This window comes from Homo sapiens, chromosome 6 (genome assembly GCF_000001405.40).
Source record: "Homo sapiens chromosome 6, GRCh38.p14 Primary Assembly".
Taxonomy (NCBI): domain Eukaryota; kingdom Metazoa; phylum Chordata; class Mammalia; order Primates; family Hominidae; genus Homo; species Homo sapiens.
The window spans coordinates 149,724,269-149,751,683 of NC_000006.12; the positions used below are offsets into that span (position 1 = coordinate 149,724,269).

Genomic DNA, 27,415 nt, shown 5'->3' on the forward strand with positions numbered 1-27,415 from the left:
GGAATTTTGTGTGTGTGGCTCCCGAGATAAGACAGATAGAAGCAAATTTCAGTTCAGTATATGAAAATTCATTTATTTAGTGAAACCCTGACATTAAAGCGTCCCAACACAAAGCAGATTCGAACATAACAACTGGTGATTGGCTCATCTCACAGGCTCACATCATCAGTGTGTTAACATACAATAGGACTGTACCCTTTTACAGGATTGAGTGTTTTGGATCCCACTCACACACTAAAACCCTGCCATAAAGTTGTATCAATTAGGGCTGTTCAAATGTGAAACTGTATTGGAAAATGGGAAACTTTATCTCCTTATATATGTATATTTTTTGAGATGGCGTTTTGCTCTTTTGCCCAGGCTGGAGTGAAGTGGCACGATCTTGGGTCACTGCAACCTCTGCCTCCCGGGTTTGAGCAATTCTCCTGCCTCAGCCTCCCAAGTAGCTGGGATTATAGATGCCTGCCACCACGCCCGGTTAATTTTTTTTTTGCATTTTTAGTGGAGACGGGGTTTCGCCATGTTGGCCAGGCTGATCTCGAACTCTTGACCTCAGGTGCTTCACCCACCTCGGCCTCCCAAAGTGCTAGCATTACAGGCGTGAGCCACCATGCCTGGCCACCATATGTTTTTAAGTATAGGTTGGATGATAATTTGTTGGGAATACCATAGAAGGGATGATGAAATTTAGGCTGGAGATGATCACCAAGGTACTTTCTATCTCTAAGATCCTGCAACCCTTGAAAGACACTCTATTTGACAGTTTCATGAATAAAGGCAGTGACAATGAACAAATTCATAAATTACGGTGTTACATTACATAAAGCTTAGTTTCTTATTAAAATTGGCAAAACTTGTCAATTGGCATGAAATGTAATGCTGTTAAAATATACTTTCTCTTATGGTTACAAATACTAAGTGGCTCACGCCTGTAATCCCAGCACTTTGGGAGGCCGAGGCGGGCTGATTACCTGTGGTCAGGAGTTCGAGACCAGCCCTGGCCAACATGGTGAAACCCTGTCGTCTCTACTAATACAAAAATCAGCCGGGAGCAGTGGCTCAAGCCTGTAATCCCAGCATTTTGGGAGGCTGAGGCAGGTGGATCATGAGGTCAGTTCAAGACCAGCCTGGCCAACACAGTGAAACCCCATCTCTACTAAAAATACAAAAATTAGCTGGGTGTGGTGGTGAGCACCTGTAATCCCAGCTACTCGGGAGGCTGAGGCAGGAGAATTGCTTGAACCTAAGAGACGGAGGTTGCAGTGAGCTGAGATCATGCCATTTCACTCCAGCCTCAGCAACAAGAGCAAAACTCCATCTCAAAAAATATATATATTTATTAGGACAGAAAAGCAAAACCTTACCATAATTCCATAACTATGATTATTGGAATTACAAAGTAAATGAACACTTCAATTGTCTAATAGCAGTGATTTGTCATTAAGGTCTCAGGTCAATAATACATTTAAAATCTAACAAAGTTTGGAAAGATAGTATCATTAAATTATCTTAAAACACTACATTAGTTCATTATTATCCCTGCAGACAAGGATAAAGATGGTTGGTAACACTATAGGTGGCTAAAACAAAGTAAAAGGATCAAAATGGCAAAATTCTTTACTCTGATCATATCATTTGATTAATCACACTTTTATCTATCACATTTTTAGTTTGGAAATAGTTTGCTTATCAATATAGAATTCTACTTTATTGCACAATGTCCAGTTTGGCAACTTTCAGCTATGCTGTGAAGCTAAACAAAAGCAAAGTTGGGTCTAACAAGCTGAAAGAGTTCTGCTCAAAAACCTATTCTGAAAAAGGAACTTGTCAAAACATTTTCACCTTAAAAAAATTTCAGGCCGGGTGCAGTGGCTCACACCTGTAATCACAGCACTTTGGGAGGTCGAGGCGGGTGGATCATGAGGTCAAGAGATCGAGACCATCCTGGCCAACATGGTGAAACTCTGTCTCTACTAAAATTACAAAAATTAGCTGGGCGTGGTGGCGCACACCTGTAGTTCCAGCTACTCAGGAGACTGAGGCAGGAGAATTGCTTGAACCTGGGAGGTGGAGGTTGCAGTGAGCCGAGATTGCACCACCGCACTCCAGCAGAGCAAGACTCTGCCTCAAAAAAAAAAAAAAAAAAAAATTGAACACAGCTACACATCTTTGTCATTTTTGCTCTACTCAATTCTTTCTGAAAAAGTTTATTATTATTAAGGAAATAAAGTGTGGAAGGATCATAGGAAATACTTGCAATAAAAAGAATAATCATTAACATTGGCAACTGCCACTAGGAAGGTGTATATGCCACATACTACTGATAAAAATTGTAGGAACCCATTGGTAGTTCCCATAACCACCATTGATGTGTTAATTCCCACAACATCAAAAATAAAGAATTAGTTCCACAAGCTGTCTGTCAATAATACTCTGAAGGCAACCTATTCATCAGCACCAGAATCCCACTGATTTTCTTCCACATGTTCACAATCTTTTGCCATCAGTCATCTATCGGATTCTACAACTGTTTGGGAGTGTCAGGCTAACAAAAGTCAAAACTGGGCATTGACATTAATGGTAGTTTACTGATGTTTCCCCTGCAAATCTCGTATTTTCTGATACTAAAATTTTGCACAGAAGTTGGATTTCAAAAGGCTAATTGCATGTTCTATCTGAAATCTTATAATTATAGTACTTCTACGAAAAAAGATGTCTAGTAACATAAATTGCTTCTGCATCGGTTCCACAAACAAGACAAGGACCTAAAACATCCAAAGTGTTCACAGACAGAGACCTACTGGGAAGTAAGCTTGTGATTTCAATTCGGTCTTTTGCAGGATCAGTGCTGAGCCAGGAGCTAATGACAGACTGGTGAACATTAGCTTGGTTACTAATGCTATGAGACAAAAAAGTACTGCTTCTTCCTCCTGGGAGAAAAAAAGAAAAGGAAGAAATCTTTCAAGATGATTTTTATATTAGTAAACATTCAAACTTCTACTGATATTTAGAAAGGTGATGATATCAATGTGTTTAATTCTCAGAATAATAGGCTAATAATTCCATTATTATACATCACCACTTTGGACCAAAGGCTTATTCAGTGATATTAAATATTCAAATTTCCATGGGATAATATGGATACCAAACTCGAAGTCTTCAGGAAAAGCAGGTGATTTCAACTGACTTTCTGTTCATCTTTTAATGGAAAGTCTCAGAAAGGTAGCAAAACGGCCAGCATACAAGTTGAATAAGGAAAGAAAAAAAAGAAACCAAAAATGTAGGTAATACATGGAAATATAAACTCTTGGGTAATAACAAAATAAAATGATCATGAGAAAGAATTTCTAGACATATTTCTAGATGAACATTTCTAGAAATATATTTCTAAATATATATTTGTTACTATATTTCTTAAAATATAATCGCCTTACCTCAAATCTTTCATTCTTATGCTTTTTAGATAAATGTTCTTACAAGCAGATTAGAACACTACTAGATTATAAGGTTTTATCTCTAACAGCGCACTGTACTTACTATAGAATAAAGTGAGGCAGAGGCAGTATATTTCAATTTTAGTCATTATTCGCAACTTACTTTCCTCTCAACTTGCTGTCATATCAAATAAGTACAAATTTAATTCACTCAACAAATGACTGAGTACCTACTATGTGCCAGGCTCTGTGCTAAGTGCTCTGTGCCAAGTCCCTATGTCTTGAAGCTTAAAGATTAGTACATTTAAAATCTTGCTGATCCTTTAAAATATGGCTGAACTTCCTTCTCTAAGAAAACTTTGAAGACAACCTCTACTTCATGTTTTTCTCTTTCCTTGAACCCTCAGCACTTGTATGTACCATTAATTTACTACTTTATAACAATTCTTATATCCTAATTGAACTATCCATGCCTCTGTCCATGACTAAATATGTCTTAAGAGCAGGATGCATATTTTATATGTTTTACTTTTTCACAGTGTCTAATACTGTGCCTTGCAATAGTAGACACAGAATAAAGTTTTATTTCCAGTCTAACCAAGGTTCCTTAAAAGTAAACTTGCAAGTTCAAGACTGTGCGGTTAGGGGAGGAAGGAAGTAAAAACGAAGTACATACTTAGTTAATCCTTAGATGAAACTGTTTGTTTCTCTGTAGATGAAGTTATAGCATGGACATGCATGCATGCTCCACACATGCTCTCCGCTCCAGAATTTTTCTGAAGAAGTTTTAGAATTTTTTTCCCCTTAGTTTTTCTGTTTATCTTTTACTGCCCCTACATTTTACATTGCTCTTGGACGCTGTAAAGATTAACACATTATTCAAGCCACTGTGATAAGACTCCTTCCTCATCTCCCTGTTTTCCACTTTTCTCCTCCCCCTCCCATAAGTCTAAAGTCCTTATCATGGGCTACAAAGTCCCAGGGCTCCTCAGCCACCAGTCCTTATCTCCCACCACTGTACCCTGCTGCCTGAGCTCCAACCGTGGTGTCCTTGCAGTTCTCTGCCTGTCTCAGGCCCTCAGCATTTGCTGTTTCCTCTGCCTGGAATGCTTTCATGTCACTTATGCCTTCACTTCTCTTAAGTCTCTGCTCAAATGTTCCTTCTGCCAAGTGGCCTCTTCTGACTCTCACTAGAGTAGCTCCCCTCACCCCTGTCTTTATTCTTTATCCTCCTACTCTGCTGTATTCTTCTTCATGGTAATTAGCAGTGTATTTGGCCATGTTATTTTCCTTTTTCTTTTTTTTTGAGATGGAGTCTTGCTCTGTTGCCCAGGCTGGAGTGCAGTGGCGTGACCTTGGCTCACTGCAACCTCCAACTCCCGGGTTCAAGCAATTCTCCTGCCTCAGCCTCCAGAGTAGCTGGGATTACAGGCACCCACCACCACGTTCAGCTAATTTTTGTATTTTTAGTAGACACAGGGTTTCACCATGTTGGACCAGGCTGGTCTTGAACTCCTGGCCTCAGGTCATCTGCCCACCTCGGCCTCCCAAATTGCTGGGATTACAGGTGTGAGCCACCGCGCCCGGCCTCCTTTTCCACTTTGCTGTGCTCCACTATATACTGTAGGAGGTAGAAGTTGGTAAACTCCACTTTCCAGGCTGCTTTGCCATCTGCCATCCAGATGGGCCTTGCCAATAGCAGGTATTAATGGTGGGTGACTGGAAGGCGGAAGGGAGAAGCAGCTCCTTCCTGCTCCAGGTTTCTGGCAACAACACTGGTGGTAGTTTCAGCCTGGTTGAGGGAGCGCCTTTTCTCCTAATTCAGAACAAACTTTTACAGCATTTTCAACAGTCAAGTAGCAGGGGTACTAACAATTACTATTTCTGGGTTTTCCCTTTTCTTCCTATTTGTTCTCCCAGCACCCCTCCTATTACCTTTTGTTTTCCCAGCCCTTCTAACACATGTGAGACCAATTCCTTCTACATCTAAGGTAGTTTCTGACATTCTAATTGGACTCTTACTGATACATTATCTATTTTTTTAACTATTAGAATATTTGCTCTATGCGTTTCGACATTTCGTTCTGCTCACTGTTACACGTCCTAACACCTAGAAGAATGCCTACCACATGGTAGGCATTCAGTAAATATTTCTGAATAAATGAATAAGCAAAAGAACTTTGGAGCCACAGACAAACCCTCAAAAACAGGAAACTTGGAAAATGCAAAAACACATAAACCCCGATTACAAGTGCATGGTCTTTGGCTGACCATAACCTACAACTGACTGTAATGAGGAAAGCACGCCCTTTTTTTTTTTTTTTGAGACGGAGTTTCGCTTTTGCTATCCAGGCTGGAGTGCAATGGTGCAATCTCGGCTCGCTGAAACCTCTGTCTCCTGGGTAAAAGCAATTCTCCTGCCTCAGCCTCCTGAATAGCTAGGATTACAGGCATGAGCCACCACACCCGGCTAATTTTGTATTTTTAGTAGAGACGGGGTTTCTCCATGTTGGTCAGGCTGGTCTCGAACTCCCAAACTCAGGTGATCCACCTGCCTTGGCCTCCCAAAGTGCTGGGATTACAGGCATGAGCCACCACACCCGGCCTGAGATCAGGCCATTTAACCAGTACCCTCAGTTACATCAAATATCAACTTTTTTCTTGCCATTCACACAAACTTGGCAATGCAATATGAAAGATTTGCCACTGTCTATGCTATGGCATGAGGGTCCAGGTTAATGGCACTCACAAAGGAGAACCTTGGCTGTCTCAAGTGAGCCAGCTTACAGCATTTCTAGCCATCAGCCATACAGTAGTAAGTAACTTGACAGTCAGATTTCAAGCCCTGTGATACTCAAATTTACTCTGAGGCAAGAGAATAAAAATGTTTTGCCATTAAGTAAAAAATACGAGGATGTCTAATTTGGTATTTAAAAGTATAAAATGGCTGGGTACAGCCAGCTCATGCTTATAATTGCAATACCTCGGGAGGCCCAGGCAGGAAGATTGCTTGAGCTCAGGAGTTTGAGAGCAGCCTGGGCAGCATAGTGAGAGCTCATCTCTACAAAAAAATTAAAAAAAAAAAATTAGCTGGTTGTGGTTGCAAGCATCTCTGGTCTTAGCTATTTGGGAGGCTGGGGCAGGAGGACCACTTAAGCCCAGGAGGGCGAGGATGTAGCGAGCTGTGATCATGCCACTGCAGTCCAGCCTGCATGTCAGAGTGAGACGCTGTCTCAAACAAAAAAAAAACAAAATAAAAGTATGATAAAATTACACATAACAGGCTGGGCACAGTGGCTCATGCCTGTAATCCCAGCACTTTGGGGAGGCTGAGGTGGTCAGATCACTTGAGGCCAGGAGTTTGAGACCAGCCTGGCCAACATAGCAAAACCCCATCTCTACTAAAAATACAAAAAAATTAGCCAGTTGTGGTGGCACACACCTGTAATCCCAGCTACTAGGGAAGCTAAGGCACAAGAAAAGCTTGAACCTGAGAGGCAGAGGTTGCAGTGAGCTGAGACTGCACCACTACACTCCATTCTGGGTGACTGAGTAAGACTCTGTCTCAAAAAAAAGGCCAGGTGTGGTGGCTCACTCCTGTAATCTCAGCACTTTGGGAGGCTGAGGCAGGCGGATCATTTGAGGTCAGGAGTTCGAGACCAGCCTGGCCAACATGGTGAAACCCCATCTCCACTAAAAATACAAAAAAATTAGCCGGGCACGGTGGTGCATGACTAGTAGTCCTGGCTACTCGGGAGGCTGAGGCACGAGAATCGCTTGAACCCAGGAGGCGGAGGTTGCAGTGAGCTGAGATCGTGCCACTGCATTCCAGCCTGGGTGATAGAGTGAGACTCTGTCTTAAAAAAAAAAAAAAAAAGTACACATAACAGTATTCATTAAAAAGTTTTACCTTGGTGAAAGAGTGACGACTTTTCAGGTACATCTGTGGAAGCATCCCAGTGCCAGAGGGATCCATCTTCAGAGCAGGTAAAAAGATGTTCTGGGTTGGATGGGTGAAAGTGAACTTCCCACACTAAGAGACAAGAATCAATAAGCTCATTCCTGTGCAGATTCGCTGAACAAACAACATTAAACCCCCATCTCTAGGCATCATCTTCCATTATCCTCCATCACATACCTTCGAGCCTCAAGTCTGTCCTAAAAATTAAAGGCTTCAGAATTAAAGAAAAGACATAATGTAACTTTCCAATGGCTATAACACATAGAAAGGAAAAAGAACACTTTAGGAGGCTAAGGCGGGTGGATCACCTGAGGTCAGGACCAGCCTGGGCAACATGGTGAAACACCATCTCTACTAAAAATACAAAAGTTAGCCAGGCGTGGTGGCGCGTGCTTGTAGTCCCAGCTACTTAGGAGGCTGAGACAGGAAAATCACTTGAACCTGGGAGGCGGAGGTTGCAGTGAGCCGAGCTCGCACCACTGCACTCCAGCCTGGGCGACAAAGTGAGACACTGTCTGAGAAAAAAAAAAAAAAAAGAAAAGAAAGGAAAAAGAAGCCAACTAAATTTGCGTACTGGGCAAGGAAATAAATGAAAATAGTAGCCAGGCACAGTGGCTCATGCTTGTAATCCTAACACTTTGGGAGGCCAAGGTGGGTGGATCACTTGAGGTCAGGAGTTCAAGACCAGCCTGGCCAACGTGGTGAAACTCCGTCTCTACTAAAAATACTAAAAATTAGCCAGGCATGGTGGTGGGTGCCTATAATCCCAGCTACTCAGGAGGCTGAGGCAGGAGAATCGCTTGAACCCGGGAGGCAGAGGTTGCAATGAGCCAACATCACACCATTGCACTCCAGTCTGGGCAACAAGAGTGAGACTCTGTCTCAAGGAAAAAAAAAAATGTCCAGGCGCAGTGGCTCATGCCTGTAATCCTACCACTTTGGGAGGCCGAGGTGAGTGGATCACCTGAGATCTGGAGTTCAAGACCAGCTAACCAACATGGTGAAACCCCATCTCTACCAAAAATACAAAAAATTAGCCCGGCGTGGTGGCAGGTGCCTGTAATCCCAGCTACTTGGGAGGGTGAGGTAGGAGAATTGCTTGAACCCGGGAGGCAAGGTTGCAGTGAGCTGAGATTGCATCACTGCACTCCAGCCTGGGCAAAAAGAGCAAAACTACGTCTCAAAAAAAAGAAAAGAAAATCATTGCTAAAACATTTAACCCTATTACTTTATGAAAAAGCTTATTTTATTTTATTTTTATTTTTTTAAATAGAGACAGGGTTTTGCTATGTTGTCTACCTTGGTCTTCTACTCCTGGCGTCAAGCAATCCTCCTGCCTCAGCCTCCCAAAAGTGCTGGAATTATAGGTGTGTGCCCAGCTAGGAATGACTGTCTTTTACGGAAAAGTTTTTTTTTAAATTGGTAAGTTGTCTTATTTTTCAATTCCTGTGTCATTAATATATGAAGATTATATTATTGGAAAAACTGAGAAAGATCCTAATGAAATATAAAAATGAATTTCTAAGAGGCAATATCCAATATTGGTTAATGCCAAGATTCTGAATACTTCTGGTCTTTATCACAGAAATAGCAACTGACTTCTACCAAACCAAAATTTGGAAATGTTCCAAGAATTTGGATCCAGTCTCAGATGGAGGGCTTTTTATTTTTTATTTGTTGATTATTTATCAAGAAAAACTATTTCTTAGCCCACATATGTATGCTTCATACTTTAGGAACATAGGTCAGTGACAAACTTCTACATAATTCAACTCAAAGAAATTCTCTCTCTCTTTTTGAAACAGGGTCTTGCTCTGGCGCCCAGGCTGGAGTGCAGAATGGCATGGTCATGGCTCACTGCAGCCTTGACCTCCAAGGCTTAAGCAATCCGCCTATCTCAGCCTCCTGAGTAGCTAGGACTACAGGTATGTATCACCATACCTGGCTAACTTTTGTATTTTTAACAGACATGGGGTTTCTCCATGTTGCCCAGGCTGGTCTCAAACAACTGGGCTCAAGAGATCTGTTTGCCTTGGACTCCCAAAGTGCTAAAATTACAGGCATGAACTACCGTGCCCAGCCCCAAAGAAATTCTATATATTCCAAAATCACTTTCAATTCTGAAAGATACCAGTCTTCCTCATTTCCTCAAAATCTGTTTTGTTTTGTTTTTTTTTTGAGACGGAGTTTCACTCTTGTTGCCCAGGCTGGAGTGCAATGGTGCGATCTTGGCTCACCACAACCTCTGCCTCCCAGGTTCAAGTGACTGTCCTGCCTCTGCCTCCCTAGTAGCTGGGATTACAGGCATGTGCCACCACGCCCGGCTAATTTTGTATTTTTAGTAGCGACGGGCTTTCTCCATGTTGGTCAGGCTGGTCTCGAACTCCTGACCTCAGGTGATCCACCTGCCTCGGCCTCCCAAAGTGCTGGGATTACAAGCATAAGCCACCGCCCCCGGCCATCATTTCCTCAAAATCTTTTATGGAATCATAATTTCTATAGAAATCTAATAATAAAAAAAATTAGCTAGGTGTAGTGGCATATACCTGTAGTCCCAGCTACTCAGAAGGGCAAGGCAAGAGGATCACTTGACCCCAGGAGGTTGAGGCTTAAGTGAGGTACCATGCCACTGCACTCCAGCCTGGGCAACATATTGAGACCCTGTCTCTACAAAAAATAAAAAATTAGCCGGGTGTAGTAGGGGTGCGTGCCTGTAGCCTCAGCTACTCGGGAGGCTGAGGTGGGAGGACTGATTGAGCCAGGGAGGCAAGGCTGAGGCTGCAGTGGGCTGTGATCATGCCACTGCATTCCAACCTGGGTGAGAGAGACCCCATTTTTAAAAAAATATATAGGGCCGGGCGCAGTGGCTCACACCTGTAATCCCAGCACTTTGGGATGCCAAGGCAGGCAGATAACCTGAGGTCAGGAGTTTGAGACCAGCCTGGCCAACATGGTGAAACCCCATTCCTACTAAAAATACAAAAATTAGCTAGGCATGGTGGCAAATGCCTTTAGTCCCAGCTACTAGGGAGGCTGAGGCAGAAGAATGGCTTGAACCCAGGAGGCAGAGGTTTCAGTGAACCGCGATTGTGCCACTGCACTCCAGCCTGGGCGACAGAACAAGACTCTGTCTCAAAAAAAAAAAAAAAAAAGGATAATCCATTCTGGCATGATATCAAAGACAGAGTGAGAAAATGAAAAATTTCTGTCCGGCTAAATCATCTCCACCAGAATCAAAAGAAAAAAAAAAGCTTATAAATCTATTGTTCATGTTAAAAAAAATGATGTGATGCAACAATAAATTGAGGAGCACAACATTTATTAACAAATATGACAGCCTGCATTTGCATGGGAAAAGGGCATTCTTGCACACTTCACTATGGCATATAAAATGGTATGATTTTTATCACTTTTCAGGGAGTGGGGTCTCACTATATTGTCCAGGCTGGAGTGCATAGGTGCAATCATAATGCACTACAGCCTTGAATTCCTGGACTCAAGCAATCCTCCTGCCTCGGCCTCCTGAGAAGCTGGTGCATGCCACTCACCTGGATTAAACTAGTATTATTAACTTTTTAAAGAGGTTATGTTGCCTAAGCTGGCCTCAAACTCTCAGGCTCAAGCAATCTTCCTGCCTCAGGCTCCTGAGTAGGAGGAGCCTGGAACTACAGGCATGTGCCAATGTGCCTGGCTTAAACTGGTATTATTTTTGTGTAGAAAAATCTGTCAATGCGCTATGCAAAATGTTTGGCCTAGCAATTCTACTTCTAAAAAATTATCCTAAGAAAATAAGTACATAAGGCTGGGCATGGGCATAATGGCTATGCCCAGCACTTTGGGAGAATCGTGTAAGTCCAGGAGTTCAAGGCTGCAATGAGCTATGATCACACCACTACTGCACTCTGGCCTAGGCAACAGAGAGAGACCCTGTCTCCAAAAAAAAAAAAAAAAAAAAAACACACACAGAGATAAATATCTAAGGATTCTAACTACAGTTTTGGATATAAGAATTAAACCTGTGGTTGATGTGGTGGCTCATAACTCATACCTGTAATCTCAGCACTTCCTGAGGATCACTTGAGCCCAGGAGTTTGAGACCAGCCTGGGCAATAAAGTGAAACCCCATATCTACAAAAAAAAAAACAAACAACAACAAAAAATCAGCTAGGCATGGTGACACACACCTATAGTCCTATCTACTTGGGAGGCTGATGCGGGAGGATCACCTGAGCCCTGGAAGTCAAGGCTGTAGTGAGCCGTGACTGCACCACTGCACTCCAGCCTGGGCGACAGAACCAGACCCTGTCTCTTTAAAAAAAAAAAAAAAAAAAAAACCAGGCACGGCGGCTCATGCCTGTAATCCCAGCACTTTAGGAGGCCGAGCTGGGCAGATCACCTCAGGTCAGGAGTTCAAGACCAGCCTGACCAACATGGAGAAACCCAGTCTCTACTAAAAATATAAAATTAGCCAGGTGTGGTGGTGCATGCCTGTAATCCCAGCTACTCGGGAGGCTGAGGCAGGAGAATCGCTTGAACCCAGGAGGCAGAGGTTGCGGTGGGCCAAGATAGCGCCATTGCACTCCAGCCTGGGCAACAAGGGTGAATCTCCGTCTCCAAAAAAACAAAAACAAATGTTAAAGAACTTAAATGTCGAGTAAAAAGAAATTACATAACTATTTAAATTTACACAATTCAGCCATTAAAAGCTATGATGTAAAATGATCCACATGTATCATTATGGAAAGGTGCTTATTATATGTCATATAACTCACCCAATATAAACTTTCTGTATCTTCACAATACTTACTTTCAGCTTCATGAGCCTTCAGCAGAGATACAGGCATAGTACCTTGTCTAACATCCCAAATACTCAACATTCCATCTTGGCCACCAGTAGCTACAACATGCTGTTGGTTGGGATGTCTATCAACACAGTGGAGTGGCACTCGGTCACCAGTCCTTTTGTGGGAGATAACAATGACGTCAAAATCAAATAAAGTATAATTTATCTTTGTGTAACACAGGAAACACGTTTTTTGTTTGTTTTGAGACAAGGCCTCACTTACCCAGGCTGGAATGCAGCGCTGCAATCATTGCTTACTGTAGGCTCAAACTCCCTGGGCTCAGGTATCCTCCCACCTCAGCCTCCTGAGTTGCTGGGAGTACATGTGTGTACCATCATGCCTGGTTAACTTTTTGTATTTTTGTAGAGATGGGGTTTCTCCATGTTGCCCAGGTTGGTCTCAAACTCCCAGGCTCCAGTGATCTAGCCACCCTGGCCTTCCAAAGTGCTGGGATGACTGGTAACCGTGCCCAGCCTGTTTTTTTTTGTTTATTTTTTAAGAGACCAGGCTCAGTGGCTCACACCTGTAATCCCAGCACTTTGGGAGGCCAAGGCAGGTGGATGACTTGAGGTTCAAGACCAACCAGGCCAAAATGGCGAAACCCCATCTCTACTAAAAATACAAAAACTAGCCAGGCATGGTGGCACATGCCTGTAGTTCCAGCTACTTGGGAGGCTGAGGCATGAGAATCGCCTGAACCCAGTAGGCAGAAGTTGCAGTGAGCCAAGATCATGCCACTGCACTCCAGCCTGGGTGACAGAGTAAGACTCTGTCTCAAAGAAAAAAAAAAAAAAGAGAGACAGGGTCTTGTCTTGTCACCCAGGCTACAGTGCAATGGCCTATCTACAGCTTGCTGCAAGCTGGGCTCAAAAGAGCCTTTTGCCTCAGCCTCCCAAGTAGCTAGGACTACAGGCACATGCTACCGTGCCAGGCTATTTTAAGAAATTTTGGTAGAGATGGGGTCTCACTGTGTTGCCCTAGCTGGTCTCAAACTTCTCACCGCAGATAATCCTTCCAAAATGTTGGGATTACAGGCATGAGTCACCATGCTCAGCCAAGAAACATGTTTTATATGGTAACTAAGTGTCAACTTAGTGGCTGGAGCTACTGGCTGAATCTTTTTTTTATTTGAGACAGAGTTTTGTTCTTGTTGCCCAGGCTGGAGTGCAATGGCACGATCTTAGCTCACTGCAAACTCTGCCTCCCAGGTTCAAGTGATTCTCCTGCAAACTCTGCCTCCCAGGTTCAAGTGATTCTCCTGCAAACTCTGGCTCCCAGGTTCAAGTGATTCTCCTGCCTCAGCCTCCTGAGTAGCGGGGTCTATAGGCACGTGCCACCATGCCTGGCTAGTTTTTGTATTTTTAGTAGAGACGGGGTTTCACTGTGTTGGCCAGGCTGGTATTGAACTCCTGACCTCAAGTGATCTGCCTGCCTCGGCCTCCCAAAGTGCTGGGATTACAAGCATGAGCAACCACGCCCAGCCTGGCTGAATCTTAATGATACCAAAAAAAATGAACTAAATTAGATATATTTCTAAATAGTACAATTTTGAAATAATTCAAGGCCACAATTATTCATTTTCACTTCAATTTGGAGACATGGAATGAAAGACAATCCGATGGTAAGATGTACAAATCACATTTCCACTTGTTAAATTATTTAAAAACTCATACATCAATTATATACTAAATATTATTTATCATCTTATTTAATGCTTAGTTTATGTAACTATTTTTTCAGTGTGACACATTCTATTTTCTTACGAGAGAACGTTGTACACCTACAAAGGGGGATTTCTGCTCAGAAAAAATATTTGGAATTATATTTTTCCCCCAATCATTACATCTGGAGTATATTTTATCCATTAAACAATCATTGAAAGAGCAGAAATAAGTTCTCCATGAAATAATACAAACTTCAAAGAGTAAAGGCTCTGAATCACTATAACAAATAATTACTAAATGAAGCATAGTAGTACCAACCCCGTCAAGTTATGCTTGCTCTACCAAATTTTAATCAGGGATCTCCCTCTTAAAATGCAATTAAAATTCAATATGGCTTAAAGCCAGTAGCTATAAACAACCTAACACATTAATTTGTGGATTACATTACTGAAATTACAAATCAACACTTACAGTGACAATATCTGAGAAGGCTCATTTCCTTGTTGTCTGAAATCCCATATTTTCAACTGTCCAATTGAATTTACAGTAAGAATCTCAGGAGTTCGAAGAAAGGTTACAGCATGGAGTGTACTACTATCTGCATTGTCTAAAAATTTAAAAAATGGTAGTATGTGTTAATGAGTCCCCTTTTTTTCCCAAGAAAATCTTAAATCACACTCCTTTCATGGATTGATATATTACAATTTCCAGTAACTTATAATTTAAATTTCTATAGAAAAATGCATGGTTAATGTATATGTTTAAATGGATTCTCTTTGGATGGGAAAAACATTTACTCACAGGACATCTGAACTGTTTTCTGTTTCTTTTTTTTTTTTTTGCTCGTTGCCCAGGCTGGACTGCAATGGCGCGATCTCGGCTCACCGCAATCTCCACCTCTCGGATTCAAGCTATTCTCCTGCCTCAGCCTCCCAAATAGCTGGGATTAGAAATGTGCCACCACACCCAGCTAATTTTGTATGTTTAGTAGAGACTGGGTTTCTCCATGTTGGTCAGGCTGGTCTCGAACTCCCGACCTCAGGTGATCCACCAGCCTCGGCCTCCCAAAATGCTGGGATTACAGGCTTGAGCCACCACGCCTGGCCTACTGTTTTCTTTTTCTTTTTGTTTTTTGAGATGGATCTCGCTCTGTCACCCAGGCTAGAGGGCAGTGGCGTACTCTGGGCTCACTACAACCTCCGCCTCCCAGGTTCAAGCGATTCTCTTGCCTCGGCCTCTCTAGTACCTGGGATTACAGGTACATGCCACCATGCCTGGCTAATTTTTGTATTTTTAGTAGAGACGGAGTTTCACCATGTTGGCCAGGCTGGTCTCGAACTCCTGAGCTCAGGTGATCCGCCTCACTCAGCCTCCCAAAGTGCTAGAATTACAGGCATGACCCACCAGGCCCAGCCTTGAACTGTTTTCTAAATGGAAGGCTGAGTTTTCATACATTTCTTTTTAACTCTTAAGATTGTTACCCTGCATTTCTGAGAGAGTTGTTCAAGCTCCTCTAAACCCAATCTTACTTCCCACTAGTCCCTGACCTAGAACTTCCATTCTATTGAGCCAAACTCCAGTGCTTCCTACAGAGCTCATTCTAACCTTGTATTATTCTGCAGACTCATCCCAAATCTACTCATTTTCACCCTCATCAACTCTCGCCCTCTCCATGAAGTCACTCCTTATTGTCATAATGGTCCTTTTTGTTGATTTCCTAGTGTTTAGAACTTATGCCTCATAATTTAACATATACTTTATGGACTTTAGTTTGTGCCACTCCTCTACACTGCCACCAGGCAATGGTCATTAATTAACAAATAAGTAATGTCGCCCAGTGCAGTGGGTCATGTCTGTAATCTCAGCACTTCGGGAGGCCGAGGTGGGCAGACCACTTGAGCCCAGGAGTTTGACACCAGCCTGGGCAACATGGTGAAACCTCGTTTCTACAAAAATTAGCTGGGCATGGTGGTGTGCATCTGTAGTCCCACATCCCTGGAAGGCTGAGGTGGGAGGATCGCTTGAACCTGGGAGGCAGAGGTTGCAATGAGCTGGGATCATGCCACTGCACTCCAGCCTGGGTGACAGAGCAAGACCCTGTCTCAAAAAAAAAAAAAAAAAAAAAAAAAGTAATGCAACTTAACTCAGAAATGAAAATCATAATAAACAACACAAAAGGCCAGGTACAGTGGCTCACGCCTGTAATCCCAGCACTTTGGGAGGCCGAGGCAGGCGAATGACAAAGTCAAGAAATCAAGACCATCCTGGCCAACATGTTGAAAGCCTGTCTCTACTAAAAATACAAAAATTAGGTGGGTGTGGTGGCGTGCGCCTGTAGTCCCAGCTCCTCGGGAGGCTGAGGCTGGAGAATCGCGTGAACCCAGGAGGTGGAGGTTGCAGTGAGCTGAGGTCGTGCCATTGCACTCCAGCCTGGTGACAGAGCGTGACTCCATCTAAACAAACAAACAAACAAAACACACACATACAAAATGGATTCATGGGCTCAATTCCTAGAGATTCTGATTTAAAAGGTCTAGAGTGGTCGACAGTTAAAAAATTTCCTCAGAGAAGTCTGGCTGAAGCATAGTTCAGAACCAATACACTTAGTTTTCCACCTAAAAGATGTAACTTCTGTGATTTTGCATTACAGACTCTTTGCAATCTGGCCCCAGCTTACTTCTCTCTTGCTTCATCTTTCATCTCTCCTAAATAAATATCTAAAGTCGGGTCAAACTATACTTTTTGTCATTCTCTGAATGTCTTTATCCTGCCTCTGGCCTATTCCCTTTGTCTAGCACGCCATCTTTTAGTATTACTTATGGTCTAGAACCTAGAAAAACTATTAATTACTACCTGCTTCCAGATGTTTTATCTGATAATGCCCTCTCACCAAAAAAAAAAAGGTTTCTGTTTCCTCTAGTCAGTCATTCATACTGGTCTCATCAACATACTGTCTTGACAAAGGGATCCTGCCTTGCGTTGTGTGTGCACATGTGTACATATATTTTATATTTTTTTGAGACAGAGTCTTGCTCTGTCACCCAGGCTGGAGTGCGGTGGCATGATCTCGGCTCACTGCAGCCTCTCAGTCTCTCAGGTTCAAGCGATTCTCATGCCTCAGCCTCCCAAGCAGCTGGGATTACAGGCCTGTGCCACCATGCCCAGCTAATTTTTGTATTTTTAGTAGAGATGGGGTTTTGCAATATTGGTCAGGCTGGTCTCAAACTCTTGGCCTCAAATGATCTGCTCGCCTTTGCCTCCTAAGGTGCTGGGATTATAGGCGTCAGCCACTGTACCCGGCCATATATTTTTACATCCCTCCATCACTTAACATTGTGTTTACTTTTTTTTTTTAGATGAAGTCTCTCTCTGTCACAAGGCTAGCGTGCAGTGGTGTAATCTTGGCTCACTGCAACCTCTGCCTCCCGGGTTTAAGTGATTCTCCTGCCTCAGCCTCCCGAGTAGCTGGGACTACAGATGCACACCACCTCACCCAGCTTATTTTTGTTATTTTCAGTAGAGACGGATTTTCACCACGTTGGCCAGGATGATCTTGATCGCTTGACCTTGTGATCCGCCTGCATCACCCTCCCAAAGTGCTGGGGTAACAGGCATGAGCCACCGTGCCTGGCAGTATTTACTTAGTATATGGTAAGTGCTCAATTACTCTGATGGATGAAAGGAGTACAATGATTTTTCTTTTTTTGAAACAGGGTCTCCCTCTGTCACCCAGGTGGGACTGCAGAGTGCCATCATAGCTCACCACAACCTCCACCTCTCAGGTTCAAGCGATTCTCCTGCCTCAGCCTCCTGAGTAGCTGGGATTACAGGCATGCGCCACCACGCCTGGCTAACTTTTCTTTTTTTTTTTTTAAACAGAGTTTCACTTTTGTTGCCCTGGCTGGAGTGCAATGGTGCGATCTCTGCTCACTGCAACCTCCGCCTCCCAGGTTCAAGCGATTCTCCTGCCTCAGCCTCCCAAGTAGCTGGGATTACAGGCATGTGCCACCATGCCCAGCAAATTCTGTAGTTTTAGTAGAGACGGTGTTTCTCCATGTTGGTCAGGCTGGTCTCGGACTCCCGACCTCAGGTGATCCACCTGCCTCGGCCTCCCAAAGTGCTGCAATTGCCGGGGTGAGCCACCACACCCAGCCTAACTTTTGTATTTTTAGAAGAGACTAGGTTTCGCCATGTTGGCCAGGCTGGGATTTTTCTTACCTATGGTTCTTACAGCTTCCTTGTGATCAGCTCTGAAGAGATTTATTCGACCATCCTCTCCAACTGTAACGATTTCTGGGTTGTTGCACACAACACCTGTACATGGTGCACTGCTATAGGAAGGACTGCCAGGGCCTGTGTGGTAGTGAGCTGTAGTCCACTGCTGGTTGACTGACAGAGTCTAGGCATCAGAAATGAGGATACTATTAAAGCAAAGTACTAAGGAATTAGCACTTCTTCCCAACAAGAGTATCTTTAAATTCTGACTCACACCCTTCTACAAGAATAAATCTCTCCTTTTTCCTTTAGAATAATGAAATCTAGAAACTACTGCCATCAAAGTTCTATATACACTGAATTAGATACAAAAGGAATATTGTTTAATAATGCCCCACATTTATCTCAAACTACAGTAATGACTTTTAGGGATCAAGCAGTTGGATGTTCAAAGGCAACTCTTTGTATTCTTATGGGAATTAACCTACATCTAAAATATACATATCTGGCCCACGGCTGTCGCTCATGCCTGTAATCCTAGCACTTTGGGAGGCCAAGGCAGGCAGATCATCTGAGATCAGGGGTTCGAGACCAGCCTGGCCAATATGGCAAAATCCCGTCTCTACTAAAAATACAAAAATTTGCTAGGTGTGGTGGCACGCGCCTGTAATCCCAGCTACTTGAAAGGCTGAGGTGTGAGAATTGCTTGAACCAGAGAGATGCAGGTTGCAGTGAGCAGAGATCGCACCACTGCACTCCAGCCTGGGTGACAGAGAGAGACTCTGTCTCAAAAAAAAAAATAAATAAATAAAATAAAATAAAATAAATAAAATATTAATCTCTATAGCTTTTTCTAAATGACTCAAAAAAACCCTTAACATGAACTGGGACTTATATTAACTAGGCATGTCTATTAGAAAAGGTTACCTTTGGCTGGGCGCGGTGGCTCACACCTGTAATCCCAGCACTTTGGGAGGCCGAAGAGGGCTGATCACCTGAGGTCAGGTGAGATCAGCCTGACCAACATGGAGAAACCCCGTCTCTACTAAAAATATAAAATTAGCCGGGCGTGGTGGCACGTGCCTGTAATCCCAGCTACTTGGGAGGCTGAGGCAGGAGAATCACTTGAACTCAGAAGGTGGAGGCTGCGGTGAGCCGAGACTGCGCCACTGCACTCCAGTGCGCGGGCAACAAGAGCAAAACTCCATTTCAAAAAAAAAAAAAATCACTTCTCAAACTAAAGTTCTTTACCTGGTTATTTGGATGGTGAAGGAAAACTGTTACACATCCTGTTGATGAAGCAGCGACAATTCTTTCCTGGTCAAAAAACTAAAGAGAAAATTTCTGCTTGTTAAAGATTCAGAAATATTAGCAGGGAGGAAGTCCATTTGTTTATTTAACTCAATTAGTAGCAAATCTTATAACAATTTTAAAAAGCAAAGAGCCATGAGTGCTAAGGAAATAAAATGTGTTAATGAAGCTGAAAGGCCAAACTGCCATACAAAGTATTTTCATGAATAAACAATATTTTTTCCTAGACACATTCACCCACAATTGATTTAATTTGGGACCAACACAATAAAACCTTAGGAAAATATTATTCCTGGCTGGGTGCAGTGGCTCACGCCTGTAATCCCAGCATTTTGGGAGGCCTAGGTGGACGGATCACTTGAGCTCAGGAGTTCAAGACCAGCCTGCGCAAGATGGCGAGGCCTCGTCTCTACAAAAATACAAAAATGAGTTGGGGTTGTAGGGAAGTGGAGGTTGCAGTGAGCCAAGATTGAGCCCCTGCATTCCAGCCTAGTTGACAGAGCAAGACTCAGTTTCAAAAAAAGAATAAAAATTTTAAAAAAGAAAAGCCAGGCACGGTGGCTGACGCCTGTAATCCCAGCACTTTGGGAGGCTGAGGCAAGCGGATCACGAGGTCAGGAGTTCGAGACCAGCCTGGCCAATACGTTGAAACCTCATCTCTACTAAAAATACAAAAATTAGCTGGGCGTGCTGGCATGTGCCTGTACTCCCAGCTACTCAGGAGGCTGAGGCAGAAGAATCACTTGAACCCACGAGGTGGGGTTGCAGTGAGCCGAGATCGAGCCACTGCACTCCAGCCTGGGTGACAGAGCAAGACTCGTCATAAAAAAGAAAAAAAAAAAAGGAAAGGAAAATATCGTCTGGGCATGGTGGCTCACACCTGTAATCCCAGCACTTTGGGAGGCCAAGCCGGGTGGACCACGAGGTCACGAGTTCAAGACCAGCCTGGCCAACATGGTGAAACTCCATCTCTACTAAAAATACAAAAATTAGCCAGGCATGGTGGCATGTGCCTGTTGTCCCAGCTACTCGGGAGGCTGAGGCAGGAGAATTGCTTGAACCCAGGAGGCAGAAGTTGCAGTAAGCTGAGCTCTCGCCACTGCACTCCAGCTCGGGTGACAGTATAAGACTTCGTCTCCAAAAAAAAAAAATGTATCTTTCCTAGAGCTAGATAGCTTTCTTTTTTATTTTATTTATTTATTTATTTATTTATTTATTATTATTATTTTTTGAGACAGAGTTTCGCTCTTGTTGCCCAAGCTGGCGCACTCTCGGCTCACTGCAACCTCTGCGCCCGGGTTCAAGCGATTCTCCTGCCTCAGACTCCAGAGTAGCTGGGATTACAAGCGCGCACCAGGGCTAGGTAGCTTTCTATGGAAAATGCAGGGGCTCTCCACACCAGGATTTGAAAACTTAATTTCGGCCGGGCGCCATGGCTCACTCCTGTAATCCCAGCACTTTGGGAGGCCGAGGCAGGCAAATCACCAGGTCAGGAAATAGAGACCATCGTGGCTAATATGGTGAAACCCCGTCTCTATTAAAAATACAAAAAATTAGCCGGGTATGGTGGCCTGCGCCTGTAGTCCCAGCTACCCGGGAGGCTGAGGCAGGAGAATCGCTTGAACCCGGGAAGCGGAGGTTGTAGTGAGCTCAGATCATGCCACTGTACTCCAGCCTGGGTGACAGAGCGAGACTCCATCTTGGAAAAAAAAAAAAAAAAGAAAACTCAATTTCATCCCCACCACTCATTACTGGTTTTGAGACTTTGGCCAAGTTAAGTTCACTAAATCGTGGTAAATCTTTAAAACGGGAGCACTAATCTCTACTTAGGGAGTTGTTATGAGAATTCAAAAAACAAAATGATGTTATCCCCCTGCACAGTATCTGTCACATAGTACATGCTCAAGATATATTAGTCTCAATTTTCTCATTAGTAAAACAAAGTAACGATACTTGATTCACTGGCATGCAACAATAATTAATTTTTGTAAAGCTCCCCAAACGGTATTTAGCACATAGTCGACAGTCAATTAATAAAAAAGTATGATTAAATCTACATCCCCTTTCCCAGTCCTTTTTCTGCCACTAAATGGCTAAATGATGTTGGGCAAATCATAACTTACAGAGCACTCAGTTTTCTGTAAACGAGGGGTGACACCAGACAACTTTTATGATGCTCTGCTTGTTTAAATGTATTACTCAGGACTTTCAAAGTTAGCTTTTGGATGCTACACAGATTTACCTGTAAATCCATTACATCACCATGGTGTCTGATATCACACAATAACTGATGGTCTCCTTCAAACCCTCCATCAGAGTCCAAGTTTCCAAAATCTCCAATAGACCACAGTGAAATATAATTTTCCTGTAAAACAGAAAGTTTTGTCTTGAGATGACATAAACGTCAACTCTCGGAAAATAAAAGTTGTGCTCCCGTCCGGAAATGTTGCTCCAAAACATCTCAAATGGTATGGTGAGTTTAAAACACAACGAGATACGAGGCTCAGGCATGCCATCACCGGCTCTGAGCTACGGAGCAACCGCGCCTGAGACAGGGGTCCGGGGGACCTAAAAGTGCGAGAAGAACCAGAAGGTGGGAGTTGGCGCGCGGAAGGCCAGGGGTCAGCTCAACCGGAGAGAGGGAGGAGGTAGGGGCTCGTCCCTATCAGCGGCGATACCTCATTGTCCCAAGATCCTGTAGCGAACGTCTCCGCGGTCTGTAAACTTCCCGGAGGCAGCGGTCGCCAGCGGGTTTTGCTGATTTTCTGGGACACAAACTTCGCATAAATTTCCTCCATGCCGAAAGCGGCCGCAGCAGGTACTGCAAAAAGCAAGCACAGTACGCGCCTCTCAGCACCGCCTCTTCCCGCGGAACCCTGATTGGATGGGACTTTAGGACGGAGACGGTGGCTGCAGAGAGTCAATTCTCGTCGATAGCCAGTGTGGGCACAGTCAGTACCTAGACTGAGAGGCCCACCCATCTCACAGAGCAGCTCTGAGCAAAGGCAAGAGCGCTTTGGCCTTTGAGCAGTAGGACTTGCTCCTAATCTGCAATGTCAGTATTTTCTTGTGTTCAATAATTGTGCAGTGTAAAATTTAAGTGCAAAAACAGAACAAAAACAATGCAGTAGAAACCACCTTGAAACCACACCTAAGCAGTTGCAGGTCACTGCGCATAGAAAACGATTCAAAAATCCTTAAATACTCGTGGAAGTACCTCGAATAAAGTGCCAACCTACTATCCCAAACCTCTCCCTCTTGTCTCCCAAACAAATACTTTGCTTCAAAGTTAATACACACTGTCAGAGCCTGGAGTTGGAATTCTGAAAGACTCCAGTTTTAGTTTTGATGCCAATTGCCTAGCTTTGATCAATTCAATTACGTGCATGATTAAGAATGAAGTTTGTGATACCTATTGTCAACGGCCCAGGAATCAGTTTTCTAGGTTCCTTCTGTGCTTTTGGTTACACCTATAATATTCTTCCCTTCCTCTTTACTCCTCAGAATCCTGCCTATCCTTCAAGGATCTGTTCTTTCCTTTACCATTTCCTGACGACCCCAGCCAATGTTGATCTAAATCAACACCATTTTTTTTCTTTTTTAAGACAGGGTCTCTGTGGCCCAAGCTGGAGTGCAGTGGTACAATCTCAGCTCACTGCAACCTCTGCCTCCGCCTCCCAGGTTCAAGTGATTCTCCCACCTCAGCTTCCAGGGTAGCTGGGACTACAGGTGTGCGCCACCATGCCTGGCTAATTTTTTTTTTTTTTTTTTGGAGAGACGGGATTTCACCATATTGGCCAGGCTGGTCTCGAACTCTTGACCTCAGGTGATCCAACTGCCTTGTCCTCCCAAAGTGCTGGGATTACAGGCGTGAGCTAGCATTTGATATCTAGACCACTAATGACATATATTTTGGATATATCTTATGTTAGTTTTCTTTAGATGCATATTCCTCCCCCATTAGAATGTAAATCCTACTGAATACAAGAGATATGACTTATTCAACTAAAAAATGAAGCTCTTTTACACTATAGGTATTCATAACTGTATGTTGGTTATTTCTTTAAAAAGGGCCATTATGCTACTGTTGTTTTTATGTGATATTGGTAGTCCTACTTCACAGGGACAGTTTACGGAAGCACTGCATGTAAATGCAATCCATCTGGGTCAGCTTTAGAGTTACCAGTTTCCTATCAAGGATTTGACTTTTTTCTTTTCTCCAAATGGAAGATCATCAAGAAACTGTAGAAAGATGAAATGGAAAATATTAAGTGGGTTACAGTCCCAAATCAACAATTTTATTCATGTTTAATATTGAAGTAAAGAACACTGTTTTGGCCAGGCACGGTGGCTCACGCCTGTAATCCCAGCACTTTGGGAGGCCAAGGCAGGCAGATCACGAGGTCAGGAGTTCAAGACCAGCCTGGTCAACATGGTGAAACCCTGTCTCTACTAAAAATACAAAAATATTAGCTGGGCATGGTGGTGCGTGCCTGTAATTCCAGCTACTCGGGAGGCTGCGGCAGAATTGCTTGAACCGGGACCTGGGAGGTGGAGGTTGCAATGAGCCAAGATCATGCCACTGCATTCCAGCCTGGGCTACAGAGTGAGACTCCGTCTCAATCAAAAGCAAAAAAACAAAAAGAAACCAGTTTTGCCTGTAGTTTCATTTATGGTCACATAATCCCAGAAAATAGGTAATGTTGATTTTGGATTGGAAGCAGGCCAGTGTCACATTTTACAAAATCGGATAAGAACTAGAATTTGAAAATTGTGCTGATATAGTGGCACAGATGTCTTAGCTTTGTTTCCTTCTAAAAGATTACTGGAGGCCGGGCGCTGTGGCTCATGCCTGTAATCCCAGCACTTTGGGAGGCCGAGGCGGGCGGATCATAAGGTCAGGAGATCGAGACCATCCTGGCTAACACGGTGAAACCCTGTCTCTACTAAAAATACAAAAAATTAGCCGGGCGTGGTGGCGGGTGCCTGTAGTCCCAGCTACTCGGGAGGCTGAGGCAGGAGAATGGCCTGAACCTGGGAGGCGGAGCTTGCAGTGAGCCGAGATCGCGCCACTGCACTCCAGTCTGGGCGACAGAGCGAGACTCCGTCTCAAAAAAAAAAAAAAAAAAAAAAAAAAAAGTTACTGGACTAGATGATGGCTGGATTCTGTCAGTCTCAGGTCTAATTAGGAGTCAGCGATTTGGACGCGACAAGCAATGTTCTCAGTGAGCTTCTCACTCATGGTCTTGCAGAGCTGAGAGCAATAAAGCCACGGTGGAATTTGTGAGGCTTAATTAGGTGGAAATGCACACTTACGTCGGGAGAATAACACGTTCACCAAAGGACACAGTGGTATTTTTTAACCAATCGCAACTCTGTACGTTGGTATTATTCTAAGGGAGCAAAGCTTTGCCCCAACCCCCACCCCCATGTCCTGGTACTCTTCCACTCTGAGAGCTTTAGAACCGGGGTTCCAAAGTCTCTGCTTAGCCTAACAGTGACGTGCTTGTCACAAAGCCAGAGGCCGGTGTACTCGGGTTAGAGAGGGCCTTTGTCGTTGGGTTTTATTCTTATTGTATTATTCGGGCTCCACCGACCCAAATATTAGTCAACTGGGTTGGGCGAGGTAGGACGGATGAAGCCCACCGTCTAACAATCTGGACATCTATAGGAGCAGATCCGCCGCTCGAAACAGCTGACCCAGCGACGACTGCGGAACCACTAGCAGCGTCTGCACAGATCGACCCCGCCATCCCGCCGTCCCGCTCGGTGACCGGAGACACAGCCGGGAACGCGACTGATCAGGCTACCGAGCCGGGCCGCAGGGCGAAAGCGGTGCGGTCCGAGGCCTCAGAAAGGGACACGCAGCAGCGGAAGTGGCGCTGACTCAGCCCGGCCTCCCTGCAGTCCCCTGGCAGCGGTAGCAGCCACAGGGGCGGGCGGCTGGGCCACACGCCTCCCCCGCCCTCGGCCCCACCCGGCCGCACCCTAAGCCGCGCGGCGTCACAGAGCGCATGCGTGCCGCGGGGGATGCCGGGAGCGCGCAGTGGCGGCAGCGGCGGCGACGGCAGTAACAGCGGCAGCTACAGCGGGGACGCGAGCGGGGCGGTGACGGTGTGGGAGGTGGTCTCACTCTTGGGAAAACTGCTGGGCACCGTCGTCGCGCTGAAGGTGGTTCTGTACCTGCTCCGAGTGTGCTTAGCGATGGCCTGGAAATCCGGCGGCGCCAGCCACTCGGAGCTAATCCACAATCTCCGCAGTAAGTGCCACCTCCGCCCGTTGTAGGGCAGCTGGGGCAGGCTGGGCCTGGACCGGGTCCCCCTGGGCCGTCCGGAACGTTCTGTCTGTCCCCGCGCGCCTGTTGGAGGGCTTCGGCGCAGAGTTGCCCCGGTAGTCCCGAACGGCGTGCGCTTGCAGTCGCCTCCCTCGGGACCTGTCACTCGTCGACGACGTGGACTGGAAGGGGAGAGAAAGAGCCAGGGGCCGCTGCTGGTGGGGGCAGGGGCAGTCGTCTCCCTGCAGGCCCTGGGGGAGGGAGTGCAGTACAGGTGATGCTGCTGTCACTCAGGTCCGCGTCCGGGTCCGGCTTGTGAGGGGCGTGCCTTCGGGGTGGGAGCGTGTGGGCTAGGCCTTATGGAGAGTGGGCTGGCGCTCAGGAGACCCCACCCTCGTCCCCTGCATTTTTCTCACCTTCCTCCTCCATAATCAACCTCGCTGCAAGCTTTCCCTCTTATGCAGCCTCCCCCGCCCTCCGTTTTTTCCCCTGGAGGGAGATGCCACCGTCTGATACAGGCGAGGGGAGGAAGATGAGAGTATTGCCATTGCAGATGCTGGGAGAAATTTCTCGGGCGGCTGTCCAGTGGAAAGCTCCGTGCGGGGCGGAGAAAGAACAGGGGATGCTGTTCCTGAGAGACTTGTATTTCAGGAGCCTTTGCAGGTCCTGGATCAGCAGAGGGTTGTGTGTCTGATGTTCTAACTTTTTTCAGGGCTACCATAGGCTTTAAAAACCTTATGTGGAGTTTCTTTATATCACTCTCCTTAGTTACTGTATTCCTTCTTCTGATGATAATTTTAGGATAGGATGAGTGCTGTGTCACTTTCTTTTTTTAAATCGAAATATAGCGTCCCCGTTTTGTTGGGAGACTACAAGGGCCGCAGTCTATAATAAACTCACTGGTCAGAATTTATAGCATTATTCGCTACTATGCAGTAATCATATCTTGTCACATGGTATTTTTAATTGTCCTGTGTTACTTAGCTTTTCATGTGTTTGTCTTATTTCTCAACTCGATTTGTAATTTCCTTAACGGCTGGCACCATTAAAAAAAATTTTTTTTGGCCGGGCTCATTGGCTCACGCCTGTAATGCCAGCACTTTGGGAGGCCGAGGCGGGTGGATTACCTGAGTTCAGGAGTTCGAGACCAGCCAGGCCGACATGGTGAAACCCCATCTCTACTAAAAATACAAAAATTAGCCGGGCGTGGTGGTGCCTGCCTGTAATCCCAGCTACTTGTGAGGCTGAGGCAGGAGAATCGCGTGAACCCGGGACGGGGAGGTTGCAGTGAGCCAAGATCTTGCCACTGCACTCCAGCCTGGGCAACAAGGGAGGAAACTCCGCCTCAAAAAAAAAATTTTTTTTTGAATTTTCTCTAAGAATTTAACAGTCATCCCTTTTTTTCATAAATGCCCATTAAATGTCCGTTATATGCCTAAATCTGTGCTAGACAGACAAAGGTAATTGAGAGAAATTAGGAGTACTGTTTGGCACATGGTTGGTACTTTTTTTTTTTTTTTTTTTTTTTGAGACAGAGACTCCCTCTGTAGCCCAGACTGGAGTGCAATGGCGCGGTCTTAGCTCACTGCAACCTCCGCCTCCCAGGTTCAAACAATTGTCCTGTCTCAGCCTCCTGAGTGGCTGGGACTACAGGCGCCTGCCAGCACGCCTGGCTAATTTTTGTATTTTTAGTAGAGAAGGGGTTTCACTAT

The 27,415-nt window shown here is 44.7% G+C and overlaps 2 protein-coding genes across 15 annotated transcripts in view, besides 10 other annotated features; one reads left to right on the forward strand and one right to left on the reverse strand.

The window, feature by feature from the left end:
* Window positions 1–46: 46 nt before the first annotated feature.
* On the reverse strand, window positions 47–25,090 carry NUP43 (nucleoporin 43). 7 transcript variants are annotated; one of them, NR_104456.2, is made up of 9 exons: window positions 22,108–22,261; window positions 21,672–21,794; window positions 19,370–19,447; window positions 18,122–18,302; window positions 14,375–14,510; window positions 12,203–12,354; window positions 7,345–7,467; window positions 2,061–2,930; window positions 47–425 (listed from the first exon to the last, which is right to left on the reverse strand). NR_104456.2 is itself a non-coding variant. In XM_047418728.1 (9 exons), the coding sequence occupies exons 2-9, from the start codon at window positions 22,225–22,227 to the stop codon at window positions 2,701–2,703; spliced, it is 1,143 nt and encodes a 380-aa protein (XP_047274684.1). In that variant the 5' UTR covers window positions 22,228–22,250; window positions 25,076–25,090; the 3' UTR covers window positions 47–2,700. The 7 variants fall into 7 exon arrangements, 6 of the variants coding, with proteins under 6 accessions (XP_047274684.1, NP_942590.1, XP_005267017.1 ...); XM_047418728.1 differs by adding an exon at window positions 25,076–25,090 and having other exon boundaries at window positions 47–2,930; window positions 22,108–22,250; NM_198887.3 differs by having other exon boundaries at window positions 47–2,930.
* Window positions 259–461: a silencer, noted in NCBI's record as "fragment chr6:150045663-150045865 (GRCh37/hg19 assembly coordinates)". NCBI's record gives its function as "represses an EF-1alpha promoter that drives an FKBP-Casp9 reporter gene in an ReSE screen in K562 erythroleukemia cells {active_cell/tissue: K562}" and the evidence as "EXISTENCE:reporter gene assay evidence [ECO:0000049][PMID:32094911]".
* Window positions 22,571–22,630: an enhancer, noted in NCBI's record as "active region_25267". NCBI's record gives its function as "activates an Ori minimal core promoter by ATAC-STARR-seq in GM12878 lymphoblastoid cells {active_cell/tissue: GM12878}" and the evidence as "EXISTENCE:reporter gene assay evidence [ECO:0000049][PMID:35858748]".
* Window positions 24,473–25,438: an enhancer, noted in NCBI's record as "H3K27ac hESC enhancer chr6:150069877-150070842 (GRCh37/hg19 assembly coordinates)". NCBI's record gives its function as "activates a minimal SCP1, AML or CMV promoter by ChIP-STARR-seq in naive H9 embryonic stem cells {active_cell/tissue: H9 hESC(naive)}" and the evidence as "EXISTENCE:reporter gene assay evidence [ECO:0000049][PMID:30033119]".
* Window positions 24,473–25,612: a biological region, named in NCBI's record as "H3K27ac hESC enhancer GRCh37_chr6:150069877-150070842".
* Window positions 25,223–25,612: a silencer, noted in NCBI's record as "silent region_17666". NCBI's record gives its function as "represses an Ori minimal core promoter by ATAC-STARR-seq in GM12878 lymphoblastoid cells {active_cell/tissue: GM12878}" and the evidence as "EXISTENCE:reporter gene assay evidence [ECO:0000049][PMID:35858748]".
* PCMT1 (protein-L-isoaspartate (D-aspartate) O-methyltransferase) overlaps window positions 25,427–27,415 on the forward strand; it is a 61,727-nt gene continuing 59,738 nt past the window's right edge. For 6 of the 8 annotated variants that reach the window (NM_005389.2, NM_001252049.1, NM_001252050.1 and 3 more), the window contains exon 1: window positions 25,427–25,688. In NM_005389.2, coding sequence (NP_005380.2) covers window positions 25,460–25,688 — 229 coding nt within the window. In that variant the 5' untranslated portion in view covers window positions 25,427–25,459. The remainder of the gene's footprint in view (window positions 25,689–27,415) is intronic. The other 2 variants (NM_001360456.1, NM_001360452.2) reach the window with 1 other exon arrangement.
* Window positions 25,843–26,079: a silencer, noted in NCBI's record as "fragment chr6:150071247-150071483 (GRCh37/hg19 assembly coordinates)". NCBI's record gives its function as "represses an EF-1alpha promoter that drives an FKBP-Casp9 reporter gene in an ReSE screen in HepG2 liver carcinoma cells {active_cell/tissue: HepG2}" and the evidence as "EXISTENCE:reporter gene assay evidence [ECO:0000049][PMID:32094911]".
* Window positions 25,843–26,299: a biological region, named in NCBI's record as "Sharpr-MPRA regulatory region 3985".
* Window positions 26,005–26,299: a silencer, noted in NCBI's record as "tiled region #3985; HepG2 Repressive non-DNase unmatched - State 1:Tss". NCBI's record gives its function as "represses a minimal TATA promoter and a strong SV40 promoter by Sharpr-MPRA in HepG2 cells {active_cell/tissue: HepG2}" and the evidence as "EXISTENCE:reporter gene assay evidence [ECO:0000049][PMID:27701403]".
* Window positions 26,404–26,906: an enhancer, noted in NCBI's record as "H3K4me1 hESC enhancer chr6:150071808-150072310 (GRCh37/hg19 assembly coordinates)". NCBI's record gives its function as "activates a minimal SCP1, AML or CMV promoter by ChIP-STARR-seq in primed H9 embryonic stem cells {active_cell/tissue: H9 hESC(primed)}" and the evidence as "EXISTENCE:reporter gene assay evidence [ECO:0000049][PMID:30033119]".
* Window positions 26,907–27,409: an enhancer, noted in NCBI's record as "H3K4me1 hESC enhancer chr6:150072311-150072813 (GRCh37/hg19 assembly coordinates)". NCBI's record gives its function as "activates a minimal SCP1, AML or CMV promoter by ChIP-STARR-seq in naive and primed H9 embryonic stem cells {active_cell/tissue: H9 hESC(naive and primed)}" and the evidence as "EXISTENCE:reporter gene assay evidence [ECO:0000049][PMID:30033119]".